At 34.1% G+C, this 26,526-nt stretch overlaps 1 protein-coding gene across 3 annotated transcripts in view; it reads left to right on the top strand.

Annotated features, from left to right (window-relative positions):
* NDST4 (N-deacetylase and N-sulfotransferase 4) overlaps window positions 1–26,526 on the top strand; it is a 285,858-nt gene that overhangs the window by 228,587 nt on the left and 30,745 nt on the right. For all 3 annotated transcript variants that reach the window (XM_017008545.3, NM_022569.3, XM_017008546.2), the window contains one exon: window positions 14,084–14,266. In XM_017008545.3, coding sequence (XP_016864034.1) covers window positions 14,084–14,266 — 183 coding nt within the window. The remainder of the gene's footprint in view (window positions 1–14,083; window positions 14,267–26,526) is intronic.

The following is a 26,526-nucleotide window of genomic DNA, read 5'->3' as shown; positions in this document are numbered from 1 at the left end:
AAAAAGGCAGACAGGAGGGAAAATGGTGAAATACAGAAGAAAACAATTTTAGTTTCTCAGATCATCTTATGTATAAACTGCAAAACCACTCTGAGCTTACTATCTCACAATAGAGTCGGCCTCCAAACCAAATTCAGTTTAGCTGCCTGGTTTACTTTAATCAAAAATTTAATAGCTCTATTTTTAAACATCATCTTACGTATTTTGATAGTGTCAATCACGATATTTCAAAAAATGATTTATTCTAACATGCTTCATTTAGCATAAGCTGGAGAACCATTCATATGCTTTCTATGACTTCTTCACTAAAAGGCAATAAAGGCAAAAAATGCGTTTTCAAATGAGAAATTAATATTTCTGAAAAGTTAATTCAAGCCAACATTATAAGAAAATATTGATGTAACTTTTCTTAAAACAAGCTTTAATGTAGACATAAACATTATGTCTGTTGAGGTGTTTAGACAAAATATTTTTAAAGGTACCACATCACTGTAGAGACTTAAAGAACTACTATCAGAACATGTATGGTTATATGTTTGTTGAGAACTCTCACATGTGCTACATTGAAACCTACTTCCTCTAAAGTAAGGGAATTTTGTAAGATAACCTTAGCCAGAATTTAGAATTCACTAGCAGTTTTCAGTTGTAAGAAGATTATAGATGTTTCAAGTTAAAAACTGCAATTATAAACCCAAATAAAGTTTTTTCTTCTCCTCCCAATTCTGACTACCTCTTCCTGCCTCCCCAGCAGCTTGGAGTTGATATGTGAGCACACATGCATGTGTGAATAAGTGTGCAAGTGAGTGTGTTTAAGTTCAATATGTGAGTGTACTTATGTGTGTGTGAGCATATGTGTGAGTGTGCAAAGTCCAGCGTCAGCTCTGGGCAGCATATGTATTCATTATCATAATAATCTTTCTCATTATAAGTGGGCTTTTCTAAAATTAATATAAGCATTCTGGCATTCTTTTGGTCAGTGTGAGCATGGCATGACTTTCTCTATCTCTTGACTTCTATTTCATATGAGTCTTTATTTTGTAGGGAGTGTCTTGTAGACCAGGGGTCCCCAACTCTGTAGATGAGCAGAGGGCAAGCTAGCATTACAACCTGAAATATGCCTCTGTCAGATCAGCGGTGGCATTAGATTCTCATAGGAACATGAACCCTATTGTGAACTGCGCATGCAAGGGATCTAGGTTGCAGGCTCCTTACGAGAATCTAAAGCCTGCTGATTATCTACGGTGAAACAGATTCATCCGAAACCATTCCCTACTTCCCCCTACTCTAGCCTTCCATGAAAAAATTGTCAAAATTGTCTTCCTGGTCCTTGGTGTCAAAAAAGTTGGGGACCACTGTTATAGACAACAAATATCTGGGTCTTGTTTTTGTTTTCTTAATTTGTGTATTTAGACAGTTTATGATTAAAGTGATTATTGATATGGTTGAATTATTTATACCAGTTGTAACTGTTTTCTACTTTTTGCATTTGCTCTCTGCTCTTTCTTTTTTGACATTTCAGGTTTTAATTGAACATTGCATAGAATTCCATTTTATCTCTTCTTTTAGCACATCAATTATATATTCTTTTAACTTTTTTAGTGATTGCCCAGAGTTGACAATATACATTTTAAACTAACATAGACAACTTTAAAATAACAGTATACTATTTCCCAGGTAGTGCTGTAGTGCAGGTCCCTTATAACTCAGTATCCCCAATGCTTCCTTGTTATTTCTTATGACATTTCTGTTAATCATTTCACTTACTTGAATGCTATACTCACCCAATGCATTACTTTTATTGCTGTATACAGTTATCTTTTAGATTAATTAAAAATAAAAAATTTAATTTTACCTTTATTTATTCATTTAAACACATTTTCTTTATGTTGATTTAAGTTTTTGAACTATATCATTTTTCTCTGCCTAAAAAACTTCATCTGACTTTTCTTTTTTCAAGGCAAGTCCACTGACAAAGAAATTCCTGTTTTTTGTTTTTCTGTGAGTGTTTATTTCTCATTCACTTTTGAATGATAACTTTGTTGGATATAGAATCCCAGATTGGTAGTTTTTAACTTTTAACATTTTGAATATTTTATTCCACTCTCTTCTTGCTTGCATGGTTTCATATGAAAAATTCCATGTAATTCTTATCCTTGTGTGTCAATAGGTAATGTTTCTTTTTCCTCTGGCTTTCTAGGTGTGTTTTTGTTTGTTTATTTGTTTGTTTCTGTATGTTTGTTTGGTACTTATCCTGCTTGATGTTCCCTGAGCTTCCTAGATTTGTGATATGCTTTATGTCATTAATTTTAGAATATTTCAGCTGTCATTACTTTAAATTTTCTTCTGCACCACTCTCTTTTTTCCTATTCTGGCATTACAGATATATTACAACTTTTGATATTGCCCCTCAGTTCTTGCATGCTTATTTCTCTTCCTCATTATTTTTTTTCTCTTTGTACTTTAGTTTGGGAAGTTTCTCTTTACCTCTCTTCAAGCTCACTAATTTGTTGCCTGGCCATGTTGAATCTATTTGTAAATAACTGACTGAGTAGTTAACACCAGCTCACTAAGTATGTGTCCAGTGTGGCCAGAATTCAAATGCTGCACTTCTCAGGGAGGCCTATGTGGTTCTTCAGGAATATAGCAGTGATGTTTTCTACCCATATCCTATTGCAGAAGTATATTCAACTCCTTTTGCCCCCTTAAGGCCCACATGTCATAAAGCCTCTTACTCTTTGAGATTTCTTGCTTTGAGGGGAATCTTCTTGTTTGCAAAATAACTCCAGTGAAGATACTTTCCCTAGTGTCACCCTGACCCACATGAAATTCATGTGTTTTGTCATGAAAAGCTAAGTTTGATCCAGAGGAAAACTAAAAACTAAAAAAAAAAAAAAATCCTTCTAAATAATTAGTAGGAGAGGGAAGAGAGTAAACATGTGTGAGAAAATTTTGATCCTTTTTTTCTTCTTTTAAAACAACACACTGCATATCCCTTTCTTCACTGTTGTCACTTATCAGAATACTCCCTTGACATTTGAGGGAGTAGAGAGTATATGAGTTCTGTAGTATTTAAAAAAAATATATCTAAATAATTGTCAATGCTTCCTAATGCACTTTGATAGAAACTTTAAAATGTACACTTCAATATGTAAACATATTTTAGTATGATTTACATGTAGCCATAAAGTGAGTTGTTTAAAATATTATAAAAATCTATTTTAGAAGATTGAAGCTGTTACTAATTTAGAGAAAACACGATGGGAAATCATTTCAATTCCTATCTTCCAATCATTACAAACATGTCTCTTATGCCACTGCACTTTCATTCTATTTATTTGGCAAATACTCAAGGCTAGAAGAATTCAGCTGTCCTCTCCCTCCAGACCTATAACTGGCTTCTCATTGGTGTACTGCTGGAGAAGAGCATGCAGATTAGAGGCTGTATAAATTTATATGGGCTCACCTGGACCCTCAGAGCAGCCACAGCATGCTTCTATACTCTCTTGTTAGCTCGCTGTGTGGTTCCTGATAGTCACTATTTTGAGGTTTCTGTTCCTCTCAGTCTTGTGTTTCATTCATCCCTTTATTGTTCTCTATTTAGGTGAAATTGCTCCAGTATCTATCCAGTCACCTAAGCCAGAAACCTGAGTATACCTTCGATCCTTCCTTTTTTTCCATCCCTGACGTCAAATCAAACACAGATCATTAGAGATTCAATATCTTAACATATTTTGAATCTATTTAATTTCTCTCCTTTCCCATTGTCACTGTTCAAGTAGTCATCACCTCTCAATCATACACCTACAGCAACCTTCTAAATGACTCCCCACCTCCAGTCTTCACTCTTCTTCATAAGACACTCAGGATCTAAGAATTTGTAAAATGCATATCTGACTATGATCCCTCCCTACTCAAAATCCTTCAATGGTTCCTTATGGCTCTTAGGATTAAAGTCCAAGCCCTCAACAGTTTAAAAGATTTATATGAGCTGGTCTCTTTCTTTTCCTTTCATGAACCACATTGTATAACTTTTAGTTTCTAGAAGGCACTGTGTTACCAATTGCTTTTCACTATGCGTTCTGTCTTAACACGTAATCTCAGCCCCGCTCCTACTCCAACCCATTGTCTCACGTGAAGATTCTCTACTCATCCTTCAGAACTTAGTTCCCATGTTTCTCTTTCAAGAAGACATCTGCAAGTCTTAGATCAGTACCCTGCCCCAAGCAGCTGTGTGATATTATAGAACAACAGAATTTCCATTTCACATTGTATCATAATCTGCTGTTCTCTTTTTTATGTTCCCATTTAACCCTAAGCATCTTTAGGCAAAAACTATGGATAATTTATTTAGTATTATATCTCTAGTTTCTAATAGACTGCCAGGCACTTATTAAGCATTAATAAATGTTTCTCAATTGGTTGATTGCTTGAATAACTAAATGTGACATTATTTTCTTCATTGAAAACTGTTGAACTCTATTTGAGGTTGTCAGTGAAGCTTACACTGATTACTAATGGACATGTTTTCTCCTCCCCATGGCTGAACTGCCCATGATTATTCCTGGGGTTATGAATTTGCACTTCAGTGACTTTTATGTGGCATCATTGCAACATGGTTGAAAGGGAGATTTAATCTCTTAAAAAGAGTAATGGTAAATAACTCAGATTGAAAGCAGCTCTGGTTGTCTCCCATCATGTAAAATTGGGAGATCTTTGTTGAAAATCAGGGTATTCTAAAATGTAATTGCCATGACATCTAAAATCCCAGTTCTGACTTGCCTACTAAAAGAAAACAAAACACAAATATATGCAACAACTGTACGGTTGTGAGCATGTGTTGCCTTTTAATGACTAAGCCTTTATTAATGTACAAGAAAAATAGAGAGTAAAGCACCTGCTCACTGAAATATAGCAGGAGCCTTCTGTTCTCAGTTAGAACAGCTGCCCTATTTACTGCTGCTTTGACGAAGTCACTGCCCAACTTCTCTATTGAGGAAGGTCGGTGTTTACACTCTAGCCAGTCTTGAATCAAAACAGTTTTGATTTGTTAATAATGCACTAACCAAATATTATGACTGAAAAACTGGGACACTGGTAAATAATCAGATGCAGAATGGAACTTCAGTTGCATTTAGTCTGATAATGGAAAGGGAAACACAAATAAAAAATGTAATTTAACAATTCATTGTATCCTGTTAAATGCCAGCTGTTTTCAGGGTTTTAGGATAGTGTTTTGTTTTTCCCCTTGTGTTTTCAGACCTTGGGGAATAATTGGAAGGCAATTAAATTACTCCATATTTTCTACTGGCAAAGAAGTGTATGTTATCAAGGATTTATTTGTTCATTCAATAAATATTTTTTGCATACCTATTATGTGCCAGGTATTTTACTACTCATTGAAGATACAGCAGTAAACAACAGCACCAGAGTCCCTGTATTCAAGGAGATTAAAATGTAATGTGAGACTGAGGGAATAGCCAGGAAATACCCAAACAAATACATAATATGTCAGGTAGTGAGTGGCCTGAAGGGCAAGGGAATGGGGAAGAGGGATGGGGGTGCTCTTTGATTTAGGTGTGTAGAGGAGGGGAAAAACAAGACATCACCTCATCATACTACCCTTGAGTGATGTCTGCTTCTCAAATCTACTAATTGAACTTTTGAAAATGAAACAAAGGATTCCATTTAACAATCTCTTCCTATATTGATTTTTAACTGCAGCTGTCAGAGGTGATTCTGATGGATAAAACTTGCATTTATTAGGATTAAGTTTTAGTTTCCTATTGCACAGCCTGGGGACTATAGCGAATAATAATGTATTGTATATTTCAAAGTAGCTAAAAGAAGATTTTAAATGTACTCATCACAAAGAAAGGTAAATATTTGAGGTAATGGATATGCTAATTAGCCTGATTTGATCATTCCACAATGATGTATCAAAACTTCACGTTGTACTTCATAAATATATACAATTATTATTTATCAATTAAAAATAAAATAAAACCTAAAAATAACGTAAAGACTACAAAAGAGTTTCATTTATTAGGTATCAAAGTTAGTCATTTTCACTCTGGTATACACGTATCCAAAATTTACTGGTTTAACCAGAAATTATATTATCATAGGCCTTGGTATATACAGACGATAGCAGAGGAACAAAGAAACACTGGCTTTGCTTACAAAAGATATGATCTATTAGATATAAATAAAATAAGTTAAATTATATTTGATATATTAATTATTCTAAATTTATTTTAACTGAATATCCATGGTGATAATATACAATGTTTTTCATTTTATAAAATGTTTTGGCATACCTCGACTCATTTGGGCATCACAACAAACCTATAAACTAAATTATTGTTTTCATTTAGCCTTAGAGATCTCTGAGATTCAGAGAAGTTAATTGATACACTAATGAAGAGCCAGTGCTCAAGCGTAGGCATTCTAATTTCAAATTTCATGTTTGTATTGCTCCATTGTGTGCAAATCAAAACAATATGAATATTATAGCAATCTGATTTTTTAAATATTTTCAGACTTATTAAATACAAACTTCTGGGATATTTTAATCGATACCCTTTTTTTATTTGTTAACTCTTTAATTACTATTATTTTCTTCATGAAGCCTGCTCCAAATTAATAACCAAAAACTTAGTTCTTCACACATCCAAAAAAAGATTTCCTTTTAACAGTCAAGGGTATGGGATGTTAAAACATCAACTAGGATTAGTGATTAATTATAAATGCTTGTGGTGATGCACATCTTATATGAAACCTGAAAGTCACATGGAGCAATAGAGCTCCTGTGCTTAGGGAAGTAGCCTGAGTGGAAAGATCAATAACTGAAGTTTACTGTAAGTGGAGATTTAAAGACATGAGCGAAACAATTTTTAGTAGCCTAACCTTTTTACTACTCATCTGACCTACACATGGTGAGATGTGTTTGATTCTGGAGCTTTTCTTTGTTTCTTTTTCTCCTTTCCTTTTTCCTTTCATTTCTTTTTTCTCTTTCTTTTCTCTTCTTCCTTTCTTTCTTTATTTCTTCCATTTTCTTTCCTTCTTTATTTTTTTTTTCCTCTCCTCTTTCTCTTACTTCTCATTTTTTGGCTGTAATGCAGTGGCATGATCTCAGCTCACTGCAAACTCTGCCTCCAGCGTTGAAGCAATTCTTCTGCCTCAGCCTCCTGAGTAGCTGGGAATACAGGCAGGAGCTAGTCACCAGGCCCGGCTACTTTTTGTATTTGTAGTAGAGATGGGGTTTCACAGGTTTGGCCAGGCTGGTCTCAAACTCCTTACTTCGGGTGATCTGCCCGCCCAGCCTCCCAAAGTGCTGGGATTACAGGCGTGAACCATTGCGCCCGGCCTATTTCTCCTTCTAAGTGTAGTTCTTACAGGAATAAATCTTGAAACATCTACCTAAATTAATAAAATGTGTCTCTTTGAAATTGGAAGATCAGAGTTACTTTTTATTTATAGAACACATTTCTTAGTGGAAATCTATTATTGTGTTCCATTGTGAAAAACTTGGCATCTATTTTTAGTGCTGCAAGAGAATTAAAATCTTTCCAAGTGAAACAATCATTTCTCTCTTAAGTACTTATTATCTTAAAGTGTCTAGAGTCAGTAATCAGCTGACATGCATGTGTGTGCATAGATATACATATTGAAATATCAAATTTTATTTTCATTTCCAAAAAAGTAAAAATATGTAAGTGATATTTTAGATTTAATCCATTCTAGGAAAAGCTTATGAGGAAATATCGTAAGTTGCAATATAGGGTTGTTATAAATAAAATTCACCAGGTAAATAAAATAATAGAATAAAATGAAGCAGAAAATAGACGGAAGTTTGATGAATTTGTAGCCAAAGTTCTGGGAGAACCATGGAATAAGAAAGAATATTGATTCTGAATTCCTATGCCCAGGCTTGCGCGCGTGCACGCGTGTGTGTGTGTGTGTGTGTGTGTTAATAACACTTAATATAGGAACTACTCTCTTAACAAATCATTAAGCGTGCAATCCGCTTGTTGACTACTTTGAATGCTGGATTTGCTAGAATTCCCTATATAAACTCAGACAGTCACCTGAAACCCTTGATCCTCATTTCCTTTTCTCATAAATAAGATAGTTTCTTAGTTCCTAGTAACACAACAAAAGTGCACATAAAACCACTTTGTAAAGTTATATAAGTAAATTAACATTAACATTCAACAAATAATATGTTACAATCAATCATTAATTAATGATTCATTGGAATGTTTCACTTTTAGAAAAACAAAATGATGTATCTAAATAGTAGACTCCAAGCTGAGAACCATTTTTAGATTGAGCAAAAGATTAATATAGTTATATTAGGTTTGGACAAACTTTCCTTACTTTTGATATCTAAGAACATAGATGTTGACATTTACCAGGTTATTAGTTGTCCAGGCCTGAAGAGTTGCCTAAGACTGGGTTGCCTACAATTATTATCAATAGTTATGTGTGTTTAAATCAAGAAGTGTTACTGGCACTCATATTAGTAATGTTAAGCCTAGTCTGACTCTTAATATCCCTTGTGTGGTTCCAGACTATTTTTAGAATAAAATAAAGACACAAAATTACCTTTTATAAGAAAAATGTGAGTACAATGCCAAAGCCCATCAGATGAGCCATCAGGGATGTATTTCCCTATATTCCATCTATCTTCACATTTTATGAGAACTAAAAGCATAATCAATAATTTAACAAGCTAATGGACATATTTTTAAACACAATGAACTATTCTGAAAAGGGGCACGCTATCAGAGCCACAAAGGCAAAAATGGAAACCGACTGCTAATATTTAATGCCTATCTTGAAAAATACTGTGCTGCAGCGTGAGCACAAAGCAAGCTGCCCTAAAACAGGGTGGCTCTCTTCTTGCTCTGCAAAGACGTTGTTTCATCCTGTGTTTGTGATTGTGCATTTTTTTCCTAGGAACCAAATATCTGACTATTCTGCACATGATTTGACTTTTAAAGGCACTGTAAGGCACAGGACTAAGTACCCAAATATTCAATGTGTACTTTAACTAAAAATGTATGCTCTAAAAATGATTTTTAATTTCAATTTAAAAATGCTGTATAATATATTCTGGCTACTGATATTCATGATCATACAGTTTACAATACCATTCTATTTGTCATACAAGTAGGAAAAGCAAGGAAACTATTCTGGACTTGGCAGTGAAAACACTCTGACTCAACCTGGAGAGTAATGCTTTATTTTGTGGATAAAATAAGGCCTCTCACTTTTATTTTGTTCTTTCCTTTTTTCTTCTCTTCTTATATTTTGGATATTAGCAGCTTCATAAGTCAAACACAAAATGTTACAAAAAACAATTAATTGTATAATTTGCAATTAAATACTCAGGGGGATAAGCAGTTGCCTAATTTATTTACCACCATTCTATTTGTCACTATGACAGTGTGTTTACCCACAGTTAAGGATTATCCATAAAGTTCAATTATATTTACTCAATTCCCTATTATCAAGATTTATACATTTTGATACATAAACCTTCCTTTTTCCTTGAACTTTAGATACATCATTAAACAGATTTATTCCATAGATAATGTCTTCCCATATTTTGAGTATATGTATTGTATCTGACAATCAGGTTAATGAAAAACTGCTTATGTTTCTAATGAATAGACTATGAACGTGCCCATAAGCTTGCTTGTATATTTTTACAACAGATAAGAAAGTTTAGACTTGTTTTATGTTTGGTTATAATGAAGTTGAGAGCCTTGAGAGTTGAGGGAGAAACATAGGTAGAAGTGCCAACAACAAGATAAAGGCAGCCCAGAGTGCTTGATGCCAGAAGCAGTGGCACCCAGACCTTGGTGCCCTCTTGGAAGGCCTGCTGCAATTGGCCTACTGAAATTAGCACATACTGAACATCTTATTCTTCAATTCATCCATTGAACAAGATTTCCTTTCCTGTCCTTTTCATATGAAAGATAAAGCTCTGCTTGTTTGAATCAATGCATATCTCTGAGCTGCAATATTTCAAGGTTCAGTGGGTTGTATATATAAACCATTTTTATCCATGTAGTACTGTCATACTTTCCCCAGATGATACTTTTGGGAGTACACTGTTGAGAAAGATTATTTTTAGTATGCAATAAGAAAATAATAATCAAAATAAATATATAAAAAAAGATAAACAGTAAAAAATAGTAGCAACATAAGTCTGTGAAAAATTATTTGCTGCTATCTCATACCACATATCTTTTGAATTCTCTTATTTATACCTCAACAACATCCATTTTTAATTTGTCTTATACACCTATACTCTCTGAAATAGGTTTTATTTGTTTGTTTAAAGAAGCCATTTGCCCAGAAATGCTAAAACTAAAATGCTGTGTCTGCACAATAGGTGATTTTAGCAAGCCAGATATGCACAGTTAAGCTGTGCTTGCAGAATTGTTTTTCTTAAAGTGCAACCAATTGACCATATACCAGCACTAATTTGTTTCTAACCAGTAAGGCATGTGCACATGTTGCCCCATACAACAGTGATTGCAACCAATATGGATGGCGTGCTTGTTTTTATTCTCAGTAAAGGAAAATTTAAATGCAGCAGCATGCCTCAGCTTAGAACCACATATCTCCAGACTCTGCTTTCTTCAAAAGACAGATTTTCCATTTGCCCTGCATTCAGTTTTAAGCTTTTTTTTCCATCAAACAAAGCTTATCCTCCTAAGAATGTTCTGGAAAAATGACTTAGAACCAGTCTGCTGCGAAAATCTTTTAAAAGCCTATATTAATACCCTTATAAAATGATAATATACATCTGCTTATGATATAAAAATACTCTTTATGATACTCTCAAAGTAATATTCTTACTTACAATTTTGTCAGACTTTAGACTCTCACAGGTGTCTTACAATTCCTTCTTTTTTTTCAATAATATCTGCATGATTTTATTCAAAATAAAAAATATTGTTATGATGAAAAGTTCTGGAGATGAATAGTGATGCTGGTTATACAACAATGTGAATGCACTTAATGCCACAGAACTGCATACTTAGAAATGATGAAGATGGTACATTTTATGTGTACTTTAGCACAATACAAATTTACAATTCCTTCTTAAAATAACAACGCTAAGAAGGCAGGTGGTAGATTTCTAGGACATTATTATCTTTCTTCAGGCATTTAGCCTGCAGCCTGGTTTTTCATACTATTTTCAGTCCTGGAAAACCATAATTATCCTGAAGCATGCTACTTACACCGTCTTATTTCTTAATTACAGTAGTGACATGAGATAAATGCATACTTATTGGGATCGAATGCATATTATTTTGTGGTGATTATAAAGAAGTTCTTATGACAATAATTGCAATTATATGGTCATCAACTACTGATACCATGCTATGTTACAGAAACTCTGTAACTAAGTCCTGCCAAGAGGGAACTTTCTATTTGAGATAAAAGAATTCAAGAGTGAGAGATTGGGACATTGGACAGTGTTATGTTTATATAATGTATCTAGGTAGAAATTTAAGTTAAACCCCTAAATATTAGTTGATATAATGATTTTACTTGAGCTTCATATGGAATAATTTAAAATTTTTAAATAATTTAAATTTTTAAATGATTTAAATTTTACTTGAGATTCCATATGAATCTCAATTAAAATCATTGTCAACTAATATTTAGAGGTTTAACTTTAAAGAGATTAAGTGGTTTAACTTAAATTTAAGGGGTTTAACTTAAATTTCTACCTAGGTAAATCAAATAAATAATATTTTTAAAATATCTATAGTCTTTTTTGATGTTTCAAATAAAAGATTTGAATATACTCCAAGGATAAAAAATGGACTAGAAATATGATGAGTGATATTGTCTTCAAAGATAAATTTGCAGTCTATTAGTAATATTCTTCTCAGATGCTATAATTCATTGTCTTAAAAGCTTTCATTTAAGGTTTCCAAAATATTTTTTTCTTTTTTCATTCCAATTTAAAAAGAAAAATAAAAACTTTCAGCTGCCAGGATAATACTTATATAGTTTTCTACTACCTTCTATAAAAATATGTTCTTTGTCTTGCTTTTTTGTTGTTGTTGAAAAGGGCAAAAGGAAAAAAAATGACGGATGTCAAACTCAATGTATATATATGTTTTGGCGAAGGTTTCAGTTATATTATATGTCAGAATTGGGAATCTGACTGCCTGGTTTTAAAGTCCTGCTCTGCCACTGACTAGATGTAGAACTTGAACAAGTTACTTAACTGCTCTGTGCTTCATTTTTTTTCATCTGTAAAAGGGGACAATAACAGTAGTTATCTGTAACAGCATTGAGAGGATTTAATTATTTCATATATGTAAAGGGCTTAGAATCCTGCTTAGTACATAGTAAGCAAACACTATATGAATTTTAGGTAAGATTTTATCTAAGTTAGAGACATTAAAGCCACATTCTCTTCTCTACCTTCAACCATGATGAGGTGTGACTTTGATCATTTTAATAGGTTTTCTTCAGATATTTTTTTCAGTATTCTAGTATGACACATAATAGAGACTATCTTTTCCACAATAAAAAGGGCATTCAAACAACGAACTGATATCTATCAGATTGGTCAGCGTAACATTGGCCAGTGACGTATATGCCTGTGTTTGTTTAAATGATTCCATATGAATCTCAAGTAAAACCATTTTATCAACTAATGTTTAGATGTTTTTAACCTATAGTGGGGTTTTAACTTACAGTGGCTTGCCAGAGCAGATTTTCTAAATTCTGGTACAAGATAATGCTTCTATTATTTTTTAAGATAAAAGGCCTCCTCTTTAGACATTTATAGTTATCCAGTGACATATTAGATCATGGGAACAGAAGGTCTGCATATAGTCTTTATTGCATGGCTAGTATCTAACCAGGTGTCAATAAAATTAACATTGGAATAGTTCTGCAAACCTATTTTATTTCCAAATAACCACACCAAGAAACATAAACCCTTAAAAAAGTGTCAGCGAGTTTCCATACAAATATTAGCCATGAGACACTTGACTTTTCTTCTATATTATTCTTCTGTTCAGCTTCAGATGTTACATTTGTTCTAATATTATTATTTATAACCTTATATTAGCCTTACATTTCTAATAAAGTTAATAAATTATTTCATTATAATATTTGGGTTGTTATAAAACATTTACAATACAGATCAATACAGTAAATAGTAAAATGAATTTTTAAGACAATTAAATTTGAAAATATCATGAAATTGAGAAACAAGTACAAAATTATACTTGTCACAAAGTAATGAACTCTCTTTTTATGAGTTGCGTAAACAATCTCTGCAATTTCAATCAGAATTTTGCAATTTCTCTTTTATTTAGTATTTTTTAAATCCCTGCTGCAATGCCTAATGAACTAAATATTAGATTATGTTTGTAATAACATTTGAATTTTTGCTTGCTCTTTCCATACCAATTAATCTAATTTCACTTTTTCTTTGTCTGTGATACACAAAAGAACAACACTGAAATGCCATGATATTTTTAGAGTTAATATTGGGGTATGAAAAGTTGTAAAAGGATTAATGAGTGGGGAAAAGTTTCTGGCTAAATGCAATCAGTTTCTGTGCAAACATTTACAGTCTCTACTGAAATAAAATTCGTTTAATTAGACCACAAAGAAACACGTTTTCTTGAATCTGATTCTATTTCAACCTGTACACATATCTACACCAGGAAAGTTCTGGAAAAATTGTTTAATTTTAGAACTGGTCTAATATTGGTTCTTCACTAGTCTGAAAGTTACTAGATTGAAGTTTGATGGTATTGGCTCCACAATAAGCAAAACTGATATGCAAAGTAATGCTATACTTCTGAAGAACAGTGAGGAAATGACACTCTCAATTTCAATTTCAATTTTAAAAGTGAGTTTAAGTGTTATTTTGAGATGAAAATTAAATGTGTGGCTTTCCACTTAAAAAGATCATTGTACTTCTTGTGAAATTCCAAGGTGAGGTGAGGTGCTGCCTGGGGCTTGTACTGCTACTTTTAAGCTTAAGCATATGATATTTTTGTGGTCATTTTTATTTATCTTTCAGATCAGCATTTTCATGACCCATTTATCAAACTATGGAAATGACCGCCTAGGGTTATATACCTTTGTGAACTTGGTCAACTTTGTGCAGAGCTGGACCAACCTGAAATTGCAAACTCTGCCTCCAGTGCAACTGGCCCACCAGTATTTTGAGCTCTTCCCTGAGCAGAAAGACCCTCTATGGCAGGTAACATTTAACATTCTCTCTTGGGGTGGAAGGAAAGAAACTAGCAATTTGTGAGTGTATAATTTGTGTTAGGCACTCTGCTGGACATATTAAAACTGGAATTTAACACAAAATCCTCTTTTATACAATACTTTTATCCTCTTCCTCAACAATTTTTGCTTATTTTATGAATTGTTTGCATTTTTTGCTTGCTTTTCTGGGTTTTTGTTTGGTTGGTTGCTTGGTTGGTTTAACATTTTTGCTTTGAAGATGTTGTTTTATTGTTGGTGTCTTCTCCAAGCTAATCATTTTAACTTGCATGCAGTGTGAGCACTAACTAGCAGTAAAATGGTTAGACAGTAGATATCTAGGGAAATAAAAACCTAGAGCCACTGGAATCTAAGATTTATAATTAGACTTTGATATGTATATGTGCAACATTGTGTATATAAGAAAGGAAAAGCAATTTTCACCTTGTATCCATATAGAGTTAACCTCTCAAGCATATCTTCACTTTTCTTTAAATCTAACAGATCTTTCACTAATATTAGACCTACTGAAAAAGAGAATTGTCAGTGTTAGGATTGCTTTACTAATAATTCAACTTCATGTGGGGCCACTTAGCCTGGATGCATCAAATGTAAACTATCTGCTTCTTGGCAGTTATCTAGGCAAATGTTGCCTCCCATTTTCTTGCCTCTTTATGCATCAGATTACATCGACCCACAAAATCAATAGGCTGGCTGCAGAGAGCAGATCAGATAGTCCCCTGCCAAGCAGTCGGCTGAGAAAGTAGCATCACCATTAATGAGAAATTACTGTGAAACAGACTTTTTGTCATCCTCTCTCCCTCTGGTCAAGACTGTTTGTTTCTCTTTATTCCATAAATCATATTACATGCCACTCTGTCTACATTGTCAGAAATACATCCAACACATGTTCATTGTCCATCTGTTATGTGTAAGGTAAGGCTAGATGTTCTAGGGCATGCAAAGAACAAAATAAATTTTTTCTCAAAGCCAGTGGAGAGATTTCTCATTATTCACTAACATACATTTCAAAAATGTGTTTTAAAACTGACTGCTACATGTCATATTATATTCTGATGATTTATTAAGCAGCTTTTTACCGTTTGTGTTTACACTGAACTACATTCTATTTACCATCCCAATAAGTTACTTGACCATCTACCATTTGATATGTAATTTAGAAAGACAGGTAAATAGATAGAAGCATAAGTATTATGCGCATATATCAACACACAAAATACAATTGTATAAAGACAAAGCAAGTGTCCCACAAATGGTGATTATTCAAAAGATCTCACATACTTTTATAAAATTGATAAATTATTGATGGTAAATCAATTCTTTTGTCACAAATGTTTATATAAAATATATCTATAATATTTATGGCACAGTAATAATAAAAATCAGACAAATTAACAAAGATTTTAGACAGCTTACATAGAAAGAATCCTTCAATGGCCTCCAGCGCTACTCTTCCTCTATCTGTAGAAAAAAGGAAAAACTTTTTTTTAATGATGAACTAAATTTCTTGATATTATTTGAAATTTTTAAGATAAAGAATTGTATTTATTAATATGTTTGGATATCAGTGACACTTTTCTTAAAAAATAAATATAATCAAAGATATGCCAGCTCCAATATGATTTGGGCAACATGATGATTCTAAGTATTGATTGAATGTTTGTTAAATATAGAATACAGTGCTGGTGGATTAGGGGTATAAATGGAAATTAGAAATTAAAATATGGGATTATTCTGTAAGAAATTACATCATTCTTGGAAGATATAAGAAATATATATATATATATATATATAATTTGCAAGTGCTGATAATTTTAATTTTGCATAATATCATAGGGGTAAGTTCCTAGGAAGTTCATCATAAGAGAGAGAATAACTCAGAAAAGATAACATAGAGTTTACAAATTTTCATCATTGCTGTTGTTTATATAAGTTTAGGAATTTTCATATACATTATCAAAATATAGTTTTCTGTAAGAGTACTTAAATGATACATGAGTAAATGTTTTCCTACTGAAAGACTCCCTTTGCTATTATGAAATTATATTATTTATATGGTTACTTTTCACTGAAATTTTAAAGTTGCAAACATTTTTGTTAACTAAATATCATATATTCTCAAATATATTTAAGAAGAAAAACAAGGAATAGAAAATAGAGTAGTTAAGTTAAAGGGAGAATTATTCAGATACATGAGATTTTGACAAAAGTTGACTTACTGCAGCAAATCTGATGAACTTTGCCAAACACATCATGTCCAAAAGTCTTCAAGTTGTGAAGTAACAATAAAGTGCATAATACTAGTTCACTTCCCTGGTGGTTATCTCTTCTTTTCATATTCATATCTATAATAACACATTTTAAAATGGTAAGCATTGTCACCCTTTTCTCTATAAAATATGAACTTAGTTTTATTTAAAAAACCAGCGTTACTTGGTAGGTTTTTTATGGCCCATTCATCACAATGCTAGAGAGTTAGAATAGATAAACATGGTGTGTTTCTGTTATTGTTACAAAGTGTCAAAATAAAATATTAAAGTACTCTTTTGTATTTACAAGTGTGACTTCTTATTCAGTATATTTCATGTTTAAAACTAAGTCAACTATTATTTTTCTTTAGATTTTCAATTCACACATTCTTGTTACCACAAATAAAAGAAAAAGTGAAAAATGATAATATTCACATCTATTTAATTTCCTTTGGTTCCTCATGTAAAGTTTCATTAGCACCAACTACCATGTATGTGAAGCTGCTTTGTCACCTAATTAAAAACTGCAATATGAATATCTGTCAATGGGTACCCTGATAAGTAGAGCACAAAACGCATTTGTGCTCATCTCTCACTGGAAATTGATTCTTTCACAGGTGATTAACATGGGAATGTGTACTGAGGACACATATGAAATGCAATCCCCAGACTGTATCCTTGTCAGTTTAGTCCTTAGTGTGTAAGACTCTTAAAATTGTACTCACTCGTGTACATTAATTCATGTCCTTTATTATTTTGGTAGAATAATCACTACACAGTGTAAAAGAATAGGGTTTCTTTTCTTTCTTTTTTTTTTTTTTTTTGCTTTTTTTTTTTTTTTTTATAATTCTCATTATGGGAACCAAAACCACAATATGGAGGAAGTTAGAAGGTCAGATTCTTACACATGAGCTAATCGATGCTTTTAAGCTCTCAAACTGTCAGCTTAGCTCAGTTCCAGTCTTCACTCAGTCACTCCAGAGTCTCACTATCAACAAACATGCCAAACATGATGTGGATTCCTGCTTTTCTGTGTGACTAGGAGAATGCTCAAAGAGCTGAAGTTTCTCTCCCCATGCCAACGTCTCCAGGGTTAAAGAAGTGGGAAAATAAACCACAGAGCACTAACCTTAGGTGGTTAATCCCTTTGCTGATTCCAGCTGTCAAGACATCCAGCCCCAGTTTAGAAATGATGAAATTTGAATAGCTGTGACATAAACAAATCTTAAGATCTAGTGGCATACACACTGTAGATTCTATTAGTATGTGTCTGTTGAAGGAATGAAGGAATACTGACACAGAGAATTAAAGATTGTAAGAGCAGAATAAGAAATTAGGGACATCTAGCTCAACCTATTCATTGTAGAGAGAAAATGGATGACACTCAGTGTAGTGAAATGCCTTGTTCTAAGTCACATGGCTTATTAGGAACAAGTCAGGACTAAAGCCCTAGGTTTTCTTACTCCTCCTCAAGGGTGATTTCAACCACAAGATGGTGGTTTTACAATTAAAAAAGCAAGTATACTATTATCATCAACTCTACATCAAATGAAATTTCAGGGGTAACTCCTCACTTTAGAAGGATCTGACAGTATGTTCAGTGTGAATTTATTCAACCTATGCTTTTGAAGTACTTACATAATCAAAAGAAAATTCTTGCCTTCATGGAACTTATAAGCCACAATAACTGCTTGTTATGTGAACAAAATAGTGTTACAAATTTGTCTTCATATTTATTTCTCTTTTTACCACCCTACAACTTATTTATAATTATATTACTGCACTTACCACACAGAATTGCAGACACTTATGCTTGTCATATACTGATTCCTGCAAACCTTAAAGAATGAGACTTTGTTTGGTTCATATTTGCACCCTGGAACCTAGCATAGTACAATAGCCACTCTCTTCAAAATATCATTAAAGAATAACCAAAAGCAGAGGGCTGTGTGTACAAAGAACAAGAAAAGTGGCACATCTGTTTCTCAGATAGTAAATAGTGATGTAATGGTAAGTAACCTATAGAAGCAGGTACAAGTCAGTGCGGGAAGCTTTGAATGCTGCCACTGTAATTTGAATTTGATAGGCAATTAGGAACAACAAGCTATAGGCTCTGAAGTTGAGAGTGAAGTGACTTAAAAAAATGTTGGTCAATGAAGAGTACACCAGAAGCCTTTACTCAGGACAGGTAAGAATAGGGAGGTGCTGAAGATAGGAAAATAATCTACCTATGAGAGAGGGAAGCCCAGAAGAGCTTCATGGTTGTGAAAAGCAAGACCTTCGAAGTAGGAGTGAGTGAGACTGAGAATAACGAAAGAGTGATCTGTGACTAATTACCCCCATTGCTGGGGAAATAGGAGTTCTGTAATAGCACTTTTCACTTTAATTCTTTCATCTTTTAGTCTTTTCAGTGAAATTAAGTCAGTATAGTTTTTATCATATCACAGATGAGAGAGGACAGATTTCATTATTATCTTAAATATTTTTTCCTAATCAAAATTTAAATTTATATTTTGCCATGTTATCTTTCTCCTCCTAACTTAGCGATAGTATGTTATATACCTTTCAGGAATATCTCCTCCACCAAATATGGCAATAATTTCTCATGATTTTGATTCTTTAATTTACACTGAAGCAACATTTTGATTATATGAGGCTGTCAGTCATTCTGACATCCAAAAATGATGACTTAAGTCTTGGATTGTTTTCCCTGTTAATCAGTTGCAAACATGTTCTTGTCAAGGGTCAAATTCCCCACACAAACCACTTATTGAGGTTCAGTCATAAAAAAAATTACTTGCAGATAGCTCCCTTGAAAATAAAATAAAGTGGCAATACTTTCTAAATTAAAATCATCATAAAATATATTTGAGCATTTAATCCAAGTATAATAATGAAAAAGGAAACTGAATTTTTTGTTTGTGCCTTACAGAAACATTTGATAAGTTCAATGTCATATATGAGTGCATAATACTGTATTAGAACAACTGATTCATAAGAGTTTAAAAATACAGTTCATTTTATTGAGTTGGCTTTCTTTTCCCTGCCAGGATATTCATTAAAACACAAATAATAACATAAGGGACTATGTTCAAAAGTACACAGTCATTAGTTTAAAAATAGAGCTGGCTGGGTGCAGTGGCTCACTCCTATAATCCCGGCACTTTGGGAGGCCGAGGCAGGCAGATCACAAAGTCAGCAGTTTGAGACTAGCCTGGCCAATATGGTGAAATCCCGTCTCTACTAAAAATACAAAAATTAGCCAGGCATGGTGGTGTGTGCCTGCAGTCCCGGCTACTTGGGAGGCTGAGGCAGGAGAATCACTTGACTCCAGGAGGCAGAGGTTGCAGTGAGCCGAGATTGTGCCACTGCACTCCAGCCTGGGTGATGGAGTGAGACTCCGTCTCAAAAAAAAAAAGAAAAAAAAATGATAGCGCTACAAAGTAAATATGCCACCTTCTCTTGGGGTCAGTTTTACTATGAGACTACCTCATGGGAAAATACCAGTAGTATTAACTTACTTAAATAAACATGAGTATAATATGGTGAAGAATAGATAGACATTTAGGGTAAATTAGAAACATTTTGTGTCTAAAGCAGTACTCTTGAAGCTGTCACCCCAGACAGACACAGAACCATGGGCTCCTTTCCATCCAGTCCTACCCCCAGAGGTTGGCATTATAAACCTTTGAAATTCAGGGTACTTTGTAGCAAAGTTTGACAAATCAGTCTATTAAGTGCTACAGGAGTTCTGTAGTGAGTGCATTTATTATGGATCAGTGTACTCACACGAGGAACACTTTCCCAAGAAGTTGAGGGACTGCATGGATTTTACATGGGGAACAAGGAGAGTTCAAGCCTTCATAAAGATGTCTCTCAGTTTTTCCATAAAGATTTGTTGATTGGAGCACTGAGAATAAACACCCTTAATCTATTAAACTTCCTCATCAGTGTACATGGATTGTATTAGGCTTAAATGACATTGAGAGACAAAACTTGAAAGTCACCACCCTGTACAATACAACTTGGAAAGGGCATTTTAAAGACATACACAGAGCAAGACTCAATAAGCAGAAAAAATTAAGAAACAACACAGGCCAATTGGAAAGGAAAAATGTGTTTTAAAAGATGCCTTTTATAGCATTCTTCTTTAAACCGTCAGGGGAATACCAAAAGGGAAATGAAAAGCAAACCAATGGCCTCTGAAATGTTTGTAATTAGTAAAATAATCCTTCTATCATGAGCACTGGGCATTTTTAAAGTTTCAACTATTAAGGTCTAGAAATGTCCTAGTTATCTAGAATAGGCACGTGACCTGGATGAGGATCATCAATCTTGAATTGATAATTCCATGGTGTCCTTGCCAGTGAAGGATGTGGAGAATAGTGAGCAAAGCAAAATTTTAGTAGCAAAAAGGCAATGTAGACTTTGAATAACTAGATATAATAAGAACAAAAGTTATTTTAATGCATCCTATAAAAATATGGAATTATAATAAGGTAAATGGTATGATATTCTTTCAATCTATGTTCTTTTTAGCTTGATTGCGAATTTGCAATTTTTACTTATTTGGAGGGAAATATCCAAGGGTGCTTCTGCCCTTGCAAGGAACATAATTTCATCAGATTTTACTGCCCTTTCTAAGTCTTGTTCATTGCTTCAGGAAATCTTCTGCCTGCTTTGTTTATGTTTACTTAAAAGTAAATTTGCCTCATATATTCCACAAATACAAACCATGTGCATCACCTGTACCTGTGTGACAGCTGAGTTACATGTACTTTCACTAGACTGGCACTGTAGCCATAAACTGCCTAAAGCAATTTTAACTGAATTCCTTTTTCAAAGTTTAAATATATCTATAGTGCTAGATACTTAAACCAGTAAATATCTGTTGCAGTTTCAGTTATGCAGGGAACAATAAGATTGGAGAATGAAAAGGGAAATAATTGCTTTCTAATTTTCTGACTTAAAAATTAAAACAATAGAAACAGAACAAAGTAAGAAAGTGCAATTAAATGCTTAGCTTTTTTGGAGGGAAGATCCTTTACCCTTCATAATCATTGTCAAAAAACTTCACATGCACATGTGCGCATGCACACACGCACATAATTTAACTGCAGAGAGAACGCCAGATTTGGATTCTAAATCTGAAACTACCTTGCTGTGTGACCTTCAGCAGGGCCTAAATAAAACACCTTGCATCTCAGCTTTCTCAGCTATCAAGAAGGGATAATAATATCTGTCTTGCCAGGTTGCTTTGAAGCTTAGAAATAATCTACATCAATCAAGTACCTGGAATATAGAAGGTGATCAATAAAAGTTAGACATTATGTTTGCTGGTATTCAGATTTTCATACAGTATAAGAAAAGTCAGAGTAGGAAAAGTCTGAACAAACATGTTCAGAATATAAAATAGAAAATACAAACATCCGTTAATAAAGTTTTGATTAACAGGCTAAAGGGAAAACTTGCCAGGAAAAGAGGTGAAAACAGAAATGGGCATCTGGAAATCCCTAAAATAGCATAATATAAAAGGATTGCAGTTACAAAAAAAGACAATCTGCCTATATTGAGGAACATACCGATAGGAATACCTGAAATAATGTAAATTAAGTTGTTAGTAATAAAAATATTTGGAACAGCAAGTATTGTAACAGCTTAGCATCCCAACATTCTGGGAAAGTATAAATAAATATTAACTAGTGTCATCCTCTTCCCCCAAAAAGCATGCTTATCCATATTCTCTCTGTGTTGGAGACAACGACAACTCTTTTCAAGTCTTATATTAAATCTGCTTATTTCTGTGAACATTTTATTTCACCAGTTTTGCAAGCAGAAATTAGAATGCCAAAGACATGTGCACTGCAATAAAGAAGATAAGTGGCCGAGTTGAACATACAGAACCAAGAACGAGCTCACAAATAAGACTTTGACATTCAACAGTGGCAATGAATTATCAATTAGTCTACTCTTCTACCTTTGCTAAGCATAAAGATATCTTCATTTGAGCAAATGAAGTGAACATCTACTCTGAGATTTGCTCTGCTGGGTTATGTGTGGGGAAATTCAATAAGTATAGGTTGAGAACTGCCTTCCTATTGCTTTGTATCTAAAAATGCAGTACAGAAATGAAGTTCTTTATAAATAGTTATATGATAATATGAGAGAAATAATGTTTAAGTTCTAAAGTGATGGTGTACTCATTAACTAGCTTCTGGGACTGCCATGAAAGACAGCATTGGGGATTATGTATGGTGTGTTGTAGGAGTTTTAGATGCTAAATGTCTATACAATTAACATTATGTTTGTTTTCAAACATATATCCAAATTAGTCTATGCCGATTGCTAAATGTTTACTGTGCCTGTCCTAAGTCATTCTACAAATATTTATTCAGCATTTCTTAAGTATTGGGTTGTAGCAATAAAGAAGACAGAGACCTCACCTTCAGAGAACTTACATTCTAGTTGACATAGAATTACTATTAACTATAACTATACTTATATATATAAACATTACAAACATACACACAAAGAAAATAATTTTAGGTACTGACATGTAATTAAGAAAATATGACAGGAAACTCAGAAAGAGACAAGAGTGGGAAGAAGCTTTGACTATCATCATCAGGGAAGGCCACTTGCATGGGTTGACATTTGTGTTGAGATCTGAATGGTAAGCGGTGCTGAAACTATTGGCTTTATGAGTTGCAGGAACCAGGCAGCAAGTATACACAGAAATGTGTTAAATTAGGATTATATAATGGTCTTCAGGTAATCTAGTAGGGCAATCTATATCCTCAAGTTGGCTAAAGATACTCCAAGCTATTTCTCTACAAAGTAACTCACAGATGCCAGAAGTCTAGTGATCTGACTGTGTGAGGCAAAACTTATCTTGTGGACAGACAGTCACACATGGTGCTGGTACATTCTAATGATGGACCAAGAAGTCTCTCAAGATGAACACCTGTAGTAAAGCAATCCATCAGTGAGATTTACTCTTTCTCTTGCTCCAATTGCCTAACTAATCTTGCCTAACTAATCTGGACAAAAAGAAAAGAAGGGCAAATGTGGAATCAAATAATAAATACTCTTACATACAGCATGATTTAATGATTTTAAATAACATATAATGCTGTCAACAACCACATGAGATAAATATTACCAACCACTATTTTATAAATAAGGAACTGAGGTCCAGATAATTTAGGAAAATTGCTTAATGCACAGGCAGTCTCCCTCATGAGTTCATGCTCTTAATGACTGGGCTATGCTACCCCTCTAAAATAAATAGGGAAGGTTTATGGTAGATATTAGCTTAAGCTAGAAATGTAGGCAAAATTTTGGGGAAAAATATGAGCATCACATGGAGAAATAATTCAATGATTAGGGTACAAACATGAGAATTTCTACAGTAGTGAATACAGTATAACTGAAGCATTAAGTTGATGTTGGCAATTATTAACTCAGAATAGTGCTACTCAAAGTGTGGTCCATTAATAGCCTGTTTGAATTATTTCGTTGCTGATTTACCATGAGACAAGAAGCTGGTGCCAGAGTAGAAATCAACTATATCACTAAGCATACCAGTTGCTTTCCTTGAAATTTTGTTTTTATCTTGTAACAGAATGTTCTTTTTGAAACAAGCAATGCATTGATTCACATTCTTGCACAAGCTCCTTATCTTCTCATAGACAAGTACTTTGAAACACAATGAGCTAGAGTATAGGTGATGTTGCTGTAATTATGCCATTCAAAAATACATTGGCTAAATAAAATGAAGATGTATTTCTCACTCATGTAACTGTCCAGAAGTAAGCAGGTAGTCTTGGAGCTGCAGACAGTTCCACGCCACATGATCACCTAGGGGCTCAGACTGATACGCTCTTCAATATATGGCTTCCACTTGAGGTCAAGTTACATGCTGCAATCTAGCCATTTTACAGCTGGTGGTAAGTTGGAAAGGAGAAATCCAGGGAGTGTGGCTTTATTTTTGAGGATACTTCATATCATTTTGTCTCACTTTCCATTGAACTGAAATTAATATGAAGAAAGCTACATTGAAGAAAGAGTGTGAAATATACTCTCTAGCTGGGAATCTGCATAATAAGCTAAATAGGGGATGCTCCATTATCGACTGAAGAAGTGAAGAATAGATAGTTCAGCCTTCTCTGCCACAGTGAAAAATATGGTTAGTTGAACTAAAACTACACCATATGAGTATATGAGATGGAATACTAAATAAAAAGATGGCAGAAAATGGAGATACCAGTTAAAACAAAATTTCAGTTATGTGAATTAAATAAGGAATGTTGTTTACTGGCTTCTAATTAATTCCTTTTATCACAGTTTCCATAGATGAATTTGTAGAAAAATCCAGGATCTGTAACCTAATTTTTTCCAAGGTAAATTCTAACATAATATGGTTGTCATTATACATTACTGATCCCTTTAGATTGTACTTCAGCCTTGTTCCAATGAGAGCAGGGATAGAAATGTATTTGAGTCAAGAGTGCCTTTTAATTTTATAGAGTATGAATATGAATAGCCATTGCCATAGGTAGTGTTCCCTAGAAGCAGAATGTGAGATAGAGATTCCATTGCAAATGATTTAAGAAATGCTTTCAGGAAAAACCTATAAGGGAAACTATGAAACTGAAAAGACGGGAAAAGAGCTGACAAGGATGTCATCTCTGGTAAAGCCTAGCCTTACCTGATCTGCAGGGAGAGAACTAGTCACAGGCCAATTTTCTCACCTTGAGGCAAGCAGGTCAGTCTTCCGTACCCCTGCATCCACTGGAGGTGGGCTATCCCCTGAGAGTGAGGAGGGGATGCAGAGTTTGATTTCCGGTCAGGTGGCTTCTATTAGCCGGGGAGAATTCTCAATCCCCTAGCTGGGGGCAATAGCAGCTGGCAAAGTTCAGAGGAGTGGAGGGTTTGCTCTAGTCTGAAAAGAGGATGCATTCAGTGGAGAAAAGAGCTTCCACCACACTCTACTCTGTACACGCTCAGTTTCATTTGTTATGTTCACTCCAACCAGACACATTTTTTCTCATGATTCTATAAACTTCCTGCCTGGGGAAATTTATAAGAGGAGAATTATTTTGAGAAACTATAACACAATTGCTGCTTTTGGTCCCAAAGGTGAAATCAGTGATTATTTTCTCCCATTTTGTCTCCTATTCTGTATTTCCCCCACCTTTGTCTAGCATTTTTGCTGGCCTAGAAGAAATACTGGGTGGGTCAGATAGTCTTAGGACTGGAGGAAGTAGCAGCAGTGATAGTTTGTCTCACTGACTCTCCTCTTGTAAATTTCTTTAGGAGAAAAGCTGTGTTTAGATAAAGATGACTTAAGGAGTACACTATGGTAGTCTGTTCTGGCACCCCCATCTAGCACTTATCAGGCAGTGGTTGCCATACTTTGCCATTTACAGTTATAACTGGGTAAGGAAGTACCAACAAGCAACTTAGTGAACTATTTGAATGCCAAAGATACTTCTCCCTGTTCTCACTATATAGTAGCTGTTCTAATTCTTCATGTTTATGTGGGTCAATTACCCCTACCAGGATGGTAACTCATTTCCATGTCTGCCAATCTACTGGCACAAAAAGTCCAAAGTGACCAGGTAGGAGTTTTAGCTTTGTGTTTGGTGAGCCCCTTCCCATGTCTCCTGGTGGAATCTTCCCTGCTATGGGAGCTAGAATTCCTAGATCCACCAACCTTAAAGTTATGAGGAAAGAAAGCACAAATTCTCCAAGCATATCATTGGGAATACTGGTAAGGGGGTCCATTCCCACATCAACTCCTGGACTCAAATACACAACTCTTTGGACAAAGGGTACAGTAGAGGCACCTGTTGGTGATATAGTGTATTCCTTAAATAAAAACTATTTGTTGGACTCTGCACCAACTAATAGTTTATGATTTAATGCGTACACTATATCTTCAAGCTGGTACCTCAACTGTATCTTTCAAGTGGCCTTT

This window comes from Homo sapiens, chromosome 4 (genome assembly GCF_000001405.40).
Source record: "Homo sapiens chromosome 4, GRCh38.p14 Primary Assembly".
Taxonomy (NCBI): Eukaryota; Metazoa; Chordata; class Mammalia; order Primates; family Hominidae; genus Homo; species Homo sapiens.
The sequence above is the reverse complement of the archived record's forward strand: the minus strand, read 5'-3'. Positions and strand labels throughout refer to the sequence as shown.